General features: G+C 38.3%; 1 protein-coding gene across 19 annotated transcripts in view, besides 1 other annotated feature; it reads right to left on the bottom strand.

The window, feature by feature from the left end:
- SEC24B (SEC24 homolog B, COPII component) overlaps positions 1–12,901 on the bottom strand; it is a 107,082-nt gene that overhangs the window by 16,304 nt on the left and 77,877 nt on the right. For all 19 annotated transcript variants that reach the window (NM_001300813.3, NM_006323.5, NM_001318085.2 and 16 more), the window contains 6 exons: positions 12,510–12,636; positions 10,737–10,846; positions 7,953–8,065; positions 4,109–4,227; positions 3,421–3,476; positions 2,967–3,173 (listed from right to left, as the gene is read on the bottom strand). In NM_001300813.3, coding sequence (NP_001287742.1) covers positions 2,967–3,173; positions 3,421–3,476; positions 4,109–4,227; positions 7,953–8,065; positions 10,737–10,846; positions 12,510–12,636 — 732 coding nt within the window. The remainder of the gene's footprint in view (positions 1–2,966; positions 3,174–3,420; positions 3,477–4,108; positions 4,228–7,952; positions 8,066–10,736; positions 10,847–12,509; positions 12,637–12,901) is intronic.
- Positions 8,278–8,447: an enhancer, noted in NCBI's record as "experimental_71805 CRE fragment used in MPRA reporter constructs". NCBI's record gives its function as "activates a minimal promoter by MPRAs in K562 erythroleukemia cells, with activity observed for both the introgressed and non-introgressed 4:110437387 variant alleles {active_cell/tissue: K562}" and the evidence as "EXISTENCE:reporter gene assay evidence [ECO:0000049][PMID:34662402]".

The raw sequence follows: 12,901 nt of genomic DNA, 5'->3' as shown, positions 1-12,901 counted from the left end.
TCTCATATGGTTTTTATCATCTACATTTTCAGACGAAGAAACTGAGGCAATAACTGATTAAGTAACTTGACCAAGATTACATAGATATTGAGAAGTGGATATTGGAATATCAACCCAAGAAATCTGGCTGCAGAATGAGTGCTGTTAACCATTATTAAATATTGTTAAATAACTTAAGAGAGTAAAAGATTAAGGAAGGTGTTTCTTTTGGTATGAGAAGACTTGAGCTGAGAAGGTGACACTGGAGAGAGTCTCCAAGTTCTTAATCATCATACAACATTTCCTAAAAAAAAGTTTCAATCCTCTTAATTACACTGTATGATGATTATATTAGAGCTTACTCTAATATAAGGAATTAAGGATATGAAGGAATATGTAAACCAGAACAGATACTGAAACTTTAGAGTCCTAGGCAGACAGATAGAGAATATTTTTGAAAGTTAAATGAGAAAACAAAACAAATCAAAACAAAGCTCTATCAAAGGATTCAGTAAATATATATCAGCTTCCTGTGTTCAAAACACCACAGTAATTTATAATGGATTGTAATGGGTCAACGAACTAAATGCCAGCTACACTTGTTGATGAGTTTAAAATACATACTTATTTTAAAATTAGCTTCCTTCTCAAATGCAATTTTAAAATACAATTTCTATAAAGGGTGAAATATGGTGCCTTTTTTTCTCTAGCATATTGGTGAAGAATAAAAAAAGCAATGCTACTTAATGGTGGTTACAGGATGAGAGTCCTTAAGAAGAGAAGTTGATTAAAAAACCCAAATAAACAAAACATTCTTTATTTAATAACTTAAAGATTATGCCCTTTAACCCAATAATTTCACTTCTAGGAATTTATCCTAAGGCAAATCTGGATATGTGGCTAAAGATTTATGACACTATTAAAACTGTTTAATTCATACTCATAACTACTTATAATGATATTTTCTCAAATATGTTAAGGCCAGACAGAACTTGTACAAAAGAAAAATGAATATTTTTGTTCATTTATTATTTGAAATAGGGCTTAAAAATGCCTGACCAAATCTTCACATAAAACCCAAGTAATGTTCAGCTTCGTATATTCCTTTCATTGTTATTATTATTATTGTTTTTCTTTTTTTTTGAGACCGGGTCTCGCTCTGTTGCCCAGGCTGGAGTGCAGTGGCAGTGATCACAGCTCGCTGCAAACTCTGCCTCCCTGGTTCAAGTGATTCTCCTGCCTCAGCCATCTGAGTAGCTGGGATTACAGGCTTGCATCACCGCACCCAGCTAATTTTTGTATTTTTAGGAGAGATGGGGTTTTGCAATGTTGGCCAGACTGGTCTCAAACTCCTGAACTCAAGTGATCCACCCACCTTTGCCTCCCAAAGTGCCGGGATTATAGGTGTGAGCCACTGCACCCGGCCATTATTGTTATTTTTTAAGATAGGGTCTCGTTACATTGCCCAAGCTGGTTTAGAACTCCTAAGCTCAAATGATCCTCTAGCCTCAGCCTCTTGAGTAGCTAAGGTAACAGGCAGGTGCTACCACACCCAGCCCTTTTTTAAAAAAAAAATAGTGCAAATACAGGTCTGGCTCACATCTGCAATCCCAGCACTTTGCAGGGCTGAGGTAGGGGTATTGCTTGATCTCGGCAGTTTGAGGCCAGCCTGGGCAACACAGCAAGATGTTGTCTCTACTTTTAAAAAACAAAAGAAAAAAATACTGAAGACAACTATTTAATAGCTGAAAAGCAATCAATTGATTACTTTCACATTTACTTTCTCTGTGACTTCAGAGAATGCGCACAATATATTCTCCAATGAAAAAGGTCAAACACACACACATATATATACACACACACACGTATGATGTCCAATTATGCTTATTTGTATGTTTGTATAACTAAATGCTAGTATCGTTAGATTATTGGTGATTTATGCTTTTCTCCACTTTCCAAGTGTTATACAATGATCTGTGTTATCTTCATAATTAAAAAGTTTATTAGTATGAGCATGTTGAATTACAATAGTTACATTTAGTAAGTTTTACCACTTACGTAATAGAAAAGAACACTGGAGTCAGAAAATCAAGTTGCACTTTTACCATTAAATAGTTATTTAACCTTTAACTAGACACTCTACTTCCTCATCTATAAAATGAAAAAGTTAGACTAAATGATTTCTAAATTTCTATGACTTACAAAGTATAAAAAGAACATACTGTGACACAAAACCAAAAAGATAATTTGAGTTAAAAACTCTCGCCGGGCACGGTGGCTCACGCCTGTAATCCCAGCACTTTGGGAGGCTGAAGTGGGCGGATCACGAGGTCAGCAGATTGAGACCATCCTGGTTAACACTGTGAAACCCTGTCTCTACTAAAAACACAAAAAAATTAGCCAGGTGTGGTGGCAGGCGCCTGTAGTCCCAGCTACTAGGGAGGCTGAGGCAGGAGAATGGCGTGAACCCGAAGGCAGAGCTTGCAGTGAGCTGAGAGCGCGCCACTGCACTCCAGCCTGGGCGACAGAGCAAGACTCCGTCTCAAAAAAAAAAAACAAAAACAAAACAAAAAACTCTCAGGCAGCCGGGCGCAGTAGCTCATGCCTGTAATCCCAGCACTTTGGGAGGCTGAGGCAGGCGGATCACCAGGCCAGGAGTTCGAGACCAGCCTGACCAACATGGTGAAACCCCCGTCTCTACTAAAAATACAAAAATTAGCCGGGTGTGGTGGTGCACGCCTGTAATCCCAGCTACTCAGGAGGCTGAAGCAGGAGAATCGCTTGAACCTGGGAAGCAGAGGTTGCAGTGAGACAAGATCGCGCCACTGCGCTCCAGCCTGGGCAACAGTGTGAGACCACGTCTCAAAAAAGAAACAAAAAACAAACAAAAAAACCCAACTCTCTTGCCAGTATTTTATTATTAATGAAATAGAATAAACAAATAATTACACAATCTTGAATATGACAAAAAACTAAACATAAAATACCTTTGTACTTGATCTCTGATTAGGATCTTCTCTGGATTGCAGAAGTCCTGCACCCAAGGAAGGTAACTGTGTCTGAAATACAGACACACGGCCACCTGTTGGAGACATTAATTTAAAGGCAGCCTGAAGTGCAGGACCAAGGGCACTGTGTGTTTCTCTTGTATTGGTGAACATGTTTGGTAATGCATTCAGTAAGTCTTTTATAAGCTGAGAAAACAAAGATCAAAAATTGAATTACTGAGAAGGCAAAGGAATAATCTTATTTTAAAACATTCCATAGTGTATCATGTGTCACTGTATTTCTGGGGACTGGAAACTGAGGAGTCAATAGATATGCCATTTATATTGTCTATTATTTGTAATACTAATATATCAAGTAAACAAATGTTAAATATTTTAGTTACCAGTCACAATATAAATATTTTTATGCTTTAAGAAAATAAATCAATCTTACCTCTTTACTTTCATATAGATTCACAAGTAAACTATCCGGTGTAGGTAGAAAAACATCTATAGGGAAAACACATATTTTAATCAACAAATCGAACAAAAGAATACATTAGAAAATCTTAGTTTTTATCAGGTCATACATGTAATGTGTACTATAATTTTGCTTTATTTTATTTATTTTTTTGAGATGGAGTTTTGCTCTTGTTGCCCAGGCTGGAGTGCAATGGCATGATCTCGGCTCACTGCAACCTCCACCTCCCGGGTTCAAGCGATTCTCCTGCCTCAGCCTCCTGAGTAGCTGGGATTACAGGCATGCGCCACAACGCCTAGCTAATTTTGCATTTTTAGCAGAGACGGGGTTTCTCCATGTTAGTTAGGCTGGTCTCGAACTCCTGACCTCAGGTGATCCACCCACCTCAGCCTCCCAAAGTGCTGGTATTACAGGCTTCAGCCACTGCGCCCAGCTAATATTGCTTTATTAAATATACACACTCTGTATATATTATACATACATGTGTGTAATACATAGGCATAACTTAGAATCAAGTATTTCCAGAAAAACAATTATTTTGAACAAATACTAAAGTGCATGACATTATCCTCACAGCATATAGCAAGGTGTATATTAAAATAAAGTAGCCCCCATTTCAAAGTCCGTAGTTAGAAAGGCTTTTATTTTACTGACTGCTTACCATCTATATCAGACACAATCAACATTTGAGGCTGTGATAATCCTTCTTGTAAATTGTAGAAATGAATAGTGCTATCAAAGGTCATGAATCCTATTCTTGTTCGTGAATCTCCAGGAAGCCTAAAGATAAAAATGACAATTTTAAATTCAGAGTGCTCAGTAACATATTTCATTTCAGAAAATAATGAAATAGTAATTTAAGTCCAAGGATAATTACACATATGCTTTTCTACAGGGGACAGAAAAATTATCCCTATCTAAACAAATATATATCAGAGAAGAAGACCAAGGTGAAAACTTACTTCCAGTTCCAATATTAGAACAATAGTATATCTTGCTTAAGCATTTTAAGGGCAGAATGACAAATAAGTACTTTCCAAGAAAAGATTGAATATACTGCAAATCAGATTTTAATGTGTAAAATTTTACACAAAAACCACATTTATGAACACTGAAACATTTTATCTATCATTAATCTTTTAAAATGCTGTTAGAGCTGTTTTCAAAAGTCGATGCTACAATACAAAGAAAAAATTACCATTTCACTGCCTGTCAAGCTTTCTTTATTAATAAGATAGATGCCTCATCTCACAGAAGCATATTACTAAGTACTACCAACTATGTTAACTTCAGTTATGTAATTTATTGTTTTAGCAATGCCTTTAAAATATCTTTGGATACTACAGGATGCCAAAATAGAATATGCATCGAAGCAAGAAGCATTATCACTGCTATGGATGACTGATCAGGGTATTAAGATATAGTCTGCAAGGTGGGTCAAGAGCATTTCAGAGAACAGAAAGCTACAAGTTATGTGGATGTTCAGCTTACCAGTATGGTGAATATTTATGATGTTTCCACAGACTAATCTTCACTCCTGTGAGACTTCTAAGATCACTGAGGAGTGGGGTCATTTGTTACTGGCTAGAGGAGACTACTGACCTACTCCAAGCTAAAAATACACAAAGTTGAGCTGAAACTGCTCCAGCATCAAACTCTTCTTTCTCAAAGAAGTTTCCAGAGCCCTTTCCAAAAACATATTATACATTTGTTGCTATTCTGTCACTTTCTTTTTCTTTTACTTTCTCAATGCTTGTTTTCTGCTGTAATCAAATAGAAATATTTTTAAAACATTTTCCATTCCCAGTTTTACACTTTTGGTTTTGCACAGTCTATTTAATTTACAAGTTGTCAATCATCTCTCTCAGTGTGGCTCCTATATCATACTTTTCCATACAAGGCTAATAGAGTAAATGGATTTCTGGAGCACAGTGACGGAATAGGAGCTTGCTCCATCCACTCCATGCATCAACCTGGTATTTTAGTACCTCCAAGAATGGTGTACCCTCTTGGGGGATTAAAACTTGGTATTTAAAGACAAAAACAAGCCAGGTGCAGTGGCTGTAATCCCAGCACTTTGGGAGGCCGAGGTGGGTGGATCGCTTGAGCTCAGGAGTTCGAGATCAGCCTGGGCAACATGGCAAAACCCTGTCTCTACTAAATATACAAAAATTAGCCGAGTGTGATGGTGTGCGCTTGTAGTCGCAGCTACTAAGGAGGCTGAAGTGGGAGGATCACTTGAGCCTGGGAGGTCAAGGCTGCAGCGAGCAGAGATCACACCACTGTACTCCAGCTTGGGGAACAGAGCAAGCCTCTGTCTCAAAAAAAAAAAAAAAAAAAAAGACAGAAACATCAACAACAAACCAACAACAAGCCAACCAATCATTTCTGTAGAGCAGTCTTCCGTTGCCACTCACTGTTAAAGCTATTTTTGAAGTAAGCACTTGTGACTAAAGTAGGGGCAAATACTTCAAGGATTAAAACATGAAAACTCTTAGTAACAAACACCAAAAGCAAATCTCTCAATATCTCTCAATTTTTAAAATCTTGAACATCTTAATGTTATCAGTTTCCTTTCAGGCCAAGATCAGTGATATGAAGACTATGGTGACTAGAAGTAGCATTCAACAGGGCAAGGACTCTTCAAGCTCAAATGAAAGATAGAGGAGAACCTTTTGGAATCACCAAAGTACTTGGGACAAAGTATTCATATATAACAAGCCCCACACCTCGACAGATGTTGAGAACCACTGCAGTAGTGAACCACTCTCACTAACAACCTGAAGCCACATCTCTTGTGGGTGTTGGAGTGAAACGGAAATGTGCAAACAACTGTACTTTCCAGAGATTTGGATGGTTCATTTTTAAAGCTAGATGAGGGGCTCCTTCATGACTAATCTTGGTAGACACAGAGGAGGGAATTAGAGCCAGGTATAAGCCACGTATCCTATACTTGCTATTTCCATTTCCACAATCCAGCTCATTACTAATGTGACAAAATGCTCAGTTTCTTAGCCTAGTGTGGTGGTGGGTGCCTGTAATCCCAGCTATTTGGGAGGCTGAGGCAAGAGAATTGCTTGAACCCAGAAGGCGGAAGTTGCAGTGAGCTGAGATCGCGCCACTGCACTCCAGCCTGGGCAACAGAGCGAGACTCTGTCTCAAAAAATAAATAAATAAATAAATAAATAAATAAATAAACAAACAAACAAACAAAATGCTCAGTTTCTCGCTTCCTAACATATTTAGCACAAAATCAGTTCCCTCCTTCCCTTTAAACCAGCTCATTCTGTCATCAGTGCAATTAAAACAAGTTTATGGAAAAAATTCCTTGCTCAGGCATAAATTACAGCCAGATTTCTCTCATCCAGATTCTTTTTAAAAAAATCCTTTTATCTTTTTAAATTTTATTTAAACTGACAGATAAGATTGTATGTATCTGTCATGTAAAACATGTTGTTTTGAAATATATATATCTACACTGTGGAATGGCTAAATCTAGCTAATGAATATATGCATTGCCTCACAAAGTTAAAATTTTTGTAGTGAGAACACAACAATTCTCATCTCTTAGCATTTCTCCAAGAATACAATATATTGCTATTAACTATAGTCATCACGTTGTACAACAGATCTCTTGAACTTATTCCTCCTATCTTTTACACTTTGGCTAGGATCTCTCAAAACCTCCCACCCCACCCCTGGTAACAACCACTGTACTCTCTACTTTTATGAGATTTACCTTTTTAGCTCCCACAATGAATGAGAACACGCAATATCTGTTCTGATTTCACTTAACGTAATGACCTCCAGGTTTATCCATGGTATCACAAATGAGAAAAAATTTTCTTTTTAAAGGCTGGATAGTATTCCATTTGCACATATACCAGTTTCTTTATCCATCCATCTGTTGATGGATACTTAGTCTGATTATGTATCCTGACTCTTGTGAATAAACTACAAATGCTACAATAAACATGGGAGTGCAGATATATCTTCCACACACTGATTTTATTTTCTTTGGATATATTCCAAGTAGTGGGATTGCTGGATCATACGACAATTGTATTAAATTTTCTGAGGGACCTTTATACTGTTTTCTATAATGGCTGTACTAATTTACATTCCCCAAAGTGTGCAGTTTCCCTTTTCTCCACATCCTCACCAACATGTTATCTTTTGTCTTTTTGATAGTCTCATCCAGATTCCCGATATACTGGCTAACTCAACATTTCTGGCCCCTGTGTTCAGATTGGCTGAGTCAGACAGTTAGATGAGATCTAAATTCCTGACTAAATACTAGATTTTTATGATTTTATAATTCAGATACCAAGTCATAAATCATAACTCGAGTATCTGCATTCTTATTCTGTGGTACATAAGTAGTACTCTTTTTAGTTGATAAATACAACCAAACCCAATCCCACAAACTGCGAACACTTCATATTTATACACATTTATATATATAACATACACATATGTATAGTATGAATTAAAAATATTCTTACTTGTCTAGATTTTCTAGGAGTGACTGGCACAAAATTGTCAAATATCCAGCTTCCACTGCATTATGAGACACATCTAAAACAAACAAGTAAACTGCAGGTTGAGGAGGACGCAGCTGAAAGGAATAAAAATAAAGTAAGTTATTTGGTAGGTACAATTTATTCTTTTTATATATTACTATTGCTACTGGATATTTACTGAATATATTAACACAAAAAATACACAAATAGGATTGCTATTTTGTAATATGTGCTCATGAAAATGATATGCTTTTAATTTTTTTTCTTTTTAGTTGGTTGTGGACTAAGCATGATAAGGCAGTTGATACACAGCCACAGTTAAATAGATGGGTTAAATGTTTTTCTGATAAGGAGTGTTGGCTAAGAGTTCATTTTTTAAAAATTAGGCTTATGATTTAATACTAAGCTCTCTAGATGTACATCCCTTCCCCTTTCCTAAAAACAAATTTTAAACCCAACAATTTGCCATTAGTACCAGCTATTGGTTTACCTGGAGGTGACTGAATCCTAATGTTTAAGTGCTATGTGTAAAGAAAGTCCTTGTGATGGTATTATAAATACTTTTCTTTTTTTTGGAGACAGAGTCTCACTCTGTCATCCAGGCTGGAGTGCAGTGGTGCAGTCTTGGCTCACTGCAATCTCTGCCTCCCAGGTTCAAGCGATTCTCCTGCCTCAGCCTCCTGAGTAGCTGGGACTACAGGCACATGCCTCCACGCAGAGCTAATTTTTGTATTTGGTAGAGATGGGGGTGGGGGGGGGTTCACTATGTTGGCCAGGCTGGTTATGAACTCCTGATGTCACTTGATCCGCCCGCCTCAGCCTCCCAAAGTGCTAGGATTACTGGTGTGAGCCACTGTGCCTGGCCTTTAAATACATTCTTTGAAAAGTCCTTATGGTTGATAATTGTTGAAGCTTGGTGATGGGTAAAGGATGGCTCATTATACTGTTTTCTTTGGAGTACGTGTGAAAACTGCTGTTATATAAAGTTGAAATAGGCCAGGTGCAGTGGCTCATGCCTGTAATCCCAGCACTTTTGGGAAGCCAAGGTAGGTGGATTGCTCGGGCCCAGGAGTTTGAGACCAGTCTGAGCAACATGGTAAAACCTTGTCTCTAGCTTGGGTGACAGAGTGAAACTCTGTCTCAAGTAAAAATTAAGTACATAAATAAGTAAAGTTAAAATAAAAGAATATATTAAATCTTTTCTTAAAAATATGCTAACTGGAGCCAGGAGCAGTAGCTCACGCCTGTAATCTCAGCACTTTGGGAGGCTGAGGCCGGTGGATTACGAGGTCAGGAGATCAAGACCATTCTGGCTAACATGGTGAAACCCCGTCTCTACTTAAAAATACAAAAAATTAGCCGGGCGTGGTGGCGGGAGCCTGTAGTCCTAGCTACTCGGAAGGCTGAGGCAGGAGAATGTCGTGAACCCGGGAGGCAGAGCTTGCAGTGAGCCGGGATGGTGCCACTGCACTCCAGCCTGGATGACAGAGCGTGACTCCATCTCAAAAATAAATAAATAAATAAATAAAAATGTGCTAACCAAGGGCCATATGAATCATATGGCAAAACTTAAAAGATTATTTCTTGCTTTACCACTTCAATTAGATTAAGATTCCTAAGGACCCAATATGGAGTGGGAAAATAATAAATCATAAAGAAGGTAGGGCTTGAGAGTAAAAGTGATCAAGATAAAGTTTATTACAGTTAATACAGAAACAAACATGAAAATGGTAGTTAGGTGGGCATATGCCAAATTAGACACAAAAGAACACAAAAATTACAAAAATAAAGATGAGCCAGGCGCCAAAAATTTAATGCACATCGCTTACTCCTTTTCACTAGCAGCAGTTTAAGTTTTGCGGACAACAAGGATTAGAGTTGTAGCTACAGAAGATATAGTTTTTTGAGTTTGTTTGTTTGTTTTTGAGACGGAGTCTTCCCCTGTTGCCCAGGCTGGTGTGCCATGGCACAATCTTGGCTCACTGCAACCTCCCCCTCCCACGTTCAAGCAATTCTCGGCCTCAGCCTCCCTAGCAGCTGGGATTACAGGCGTGCACCACCACGCCCAGCTAATTTTTGTATTTTAAGTAGAGACAGGGTTTCACCATGTTGGCCAGGCTGGTCTTAAATTCTTGACCTCAGGTGATCCACCCACCTCAGCCTCCGCAAGTGCTGGGATTACAGACGTGAGCCACCACACCCAGCCAATACAGTTTTTATAAATATGTTAAAAAGAGAAGATATGATAACGAAGATGAGCAAACCTTAGGGCCAGTAATTCGTTTTTGAAGTGAAAAGAAGAATGAGATCTTACAGTTCATATAATTAAAGAAGAGACAGAATTTTCTAATTGCAACAGAAGAAAAAATTAGAAGTCCATATCCACTTATCTTGGTATCTTGGTGAAAAAACTTAAGTTTTGGGCAAAAATGTGCATTTCTCTGTTTTGAGAGTCTTAAATGTTAAATGGTAAAAGGGTATCTATATCCATTCCATGCAAGGAAATCAAAATGGCAACAAGTCATAGATGCTAGTGCCCATCATAAGACAGAACTAACATTTCTTATTCATAGAAAGCCTTCTAGGAGATCGAATAACCTTTAGAAAGATTTTCTCTTTGTTAAATATAAACTTCCAGCATTAATTTGTTTTTAAAAATTATGAGTATAAACAACTTCAAAATCTCGATAAGAGTTCACTTAACAGAAAATTACAAATGACCAATGTAATTGTGTTCCATAACAAATCTTAACACTGAATAGTTACCATGTAATCTGAAGAAGCAATGAACTCCACAGTTGAATTCTGAACTTCTGGTCGTTTATGAGGCTCTCCATAAGATCGGGTAAGGGGGTTATACATAAATTCTTCAGGAACTAGATAAGAGGTCCCAGTACAAATTTAGAGACACAATTTGTAACTAAACACATATATACACACCTAAAAATAAATATCTATTATCAATATTTACACGAGGTTTAGCAACAGTTCTGCGAACATTTAATGGTAAAAATCAATCCCTTAAGCCCTCCTTAAAAAATAGATCAGGGCGGTGGCTCACGCCTGCAATCCCAGCACTTTGGGCGGCCGCGGCGGGCGGATCACGAGGTCAGGAGTTTGAGAACAGCCTGACCAACATGGTGAAACCTCGTCTCTACTAAAAAAACAAAAATTAGCCAGGCATAGTGGTGTGCGCCTGTAATCCCAGCTACTCAGGAGGCTGAGGCAGGAGAATTGCTTGAACCTGGGAGGCAGAGGTTGCAGTGAGCTGAGATTACACCACTGCACTCCAGCCTAGGCGACAGAGTGAGACTCTGTCTCCGAAAAAAAAAAAAAATAATAATCAGGGGGCCAGGCGCAGTGGCTCACACCTATAATCCCAGCATTTTGGGAGGCTGAGGCGGGGAAGATCACGAGGTCAGGAGTTCGAGACCAGCCTGGCCAATATGGTAAAACCCCATCTCTACTAAAAATACAAAAATTAGCCAGACATGGTGGCAGACACCTGTAGTCCCAGCTACTCGGGAGGCTGAGGCAGAAGAATTGCTTGAACCCGGGAGGTGGAGGTTGCAGTGAGCTGAGATCGCACCACTGCACTCCAACCTGGGTGACAGAGTGAGACTCCATCTCCAAAAAAAAAAAAAAAAAAAAGATCAGGCTTAGGTGCAGTGGCTCATGTCTGTAATCCCAGCTCTTGGGTTGGGAGGCTGAGGTGGATGGATCATTTGAGCCCAGGAGTTCAGGATTAGCCTGGCCAACATAGCGAGACCCCATTTCTACCAAAAATACAAAAATTAGCCAGGTGTGGTGGTGCAAGCCTGTAGTCTCAGCTACTTGGGAGGCTGAGGCATGAGAAAAACTTATAGCTTGAACCTGGAAAGCAGAGATTGCAGTGAGCCATATTGTGCAACTGCACTCCAGCCTGGGTGACAGAGCGAGACCCTGTCTCAAAAAAAAAATTAAAAAAAAAAAATAGATCAGAAGGATAAAAAAACTTATGTTCTGAAATCAGGTGAGAAAACCAGGATGCAAGTAACCTTCCTTCTTAGACTTGTATCCTATTTATTATATCAAATGACATGGAAAAAAATCAGACAGAGAAACATAAATTTGAAAGCAACTCTAGTAGGGGAACCCGAAGAAATGAATAAAGGGAACAAGAGACAGACATATATACATGCATGCATCCAGATACACTGGCAAAGTTCTACCTGAGTTGAATGAACCAAATATACAAATGTAAGACAATCTTACTGTCAGGGACAAGCATAACTAGTCTGCATAAGCTCACCTGCATGAGTGTCACTGTTTCTATTTTTCTTACTTTGTCCTCACTGTTACTCTCCTCATTGTCAATTATCCCCTTGGTCAGCCAAAATGAAGAATCCCTAGTCCTAGCCTTAGCCTATATTCCCTCTACTAAAAATGGCATGAAAATTCTTTTTAAAGCAATGAAGAGAGAAACCAGGAGATGACAAAAATCTCAAAAAAAAAAACCTGAAAATAGGATTAAAACACAATTAAGAATCTAAAACTCACCATCGTTTACTCTATAGCACAAATTGCATTTCCATCTACGTTGATCAATGAAGGATACAAAGGGGTTAATATACGTTCGACAGGATCGGCACCTCACAATGGTATTTGATGTTATCACTGGTAATTGCTAGGAAATAAAATAAAGAAGCTGTAGCAGAAAAAGGCACCCCAAGGAAAAACAGAACGTACACAGATCTGCTCCAAATACAGAACATAAACCTTAATTGTTTTTATGTGGTTTTATATGGAAGCATATTAATAAAATCCAGGGACATGTTGAGCAACACATGTAGCCATCAAGTTTTCTCCCTCTTGTCACAAATCATAACACTAAAATAAAGTCATAACAAACATTGGCCAAGAAAATAATGTAAGTGAGATCTTATCAGTTT

Source organism: Homo sapiens, chromosome 4, assembly GCF_000001405.40.
Source record: "Homo sapiens chromosome 4, GRCh38.p14 Primary Assembly".
NCBI lineage: Eukaryota > Metazoa > Chordata > Mammalia > Primates > Hominidae > Homo > Homo sapiens.
Note: the sequence above shows the minus strand (reverse complement) of the source record. Positions and strands in the feature narration are given on the sequence as shown.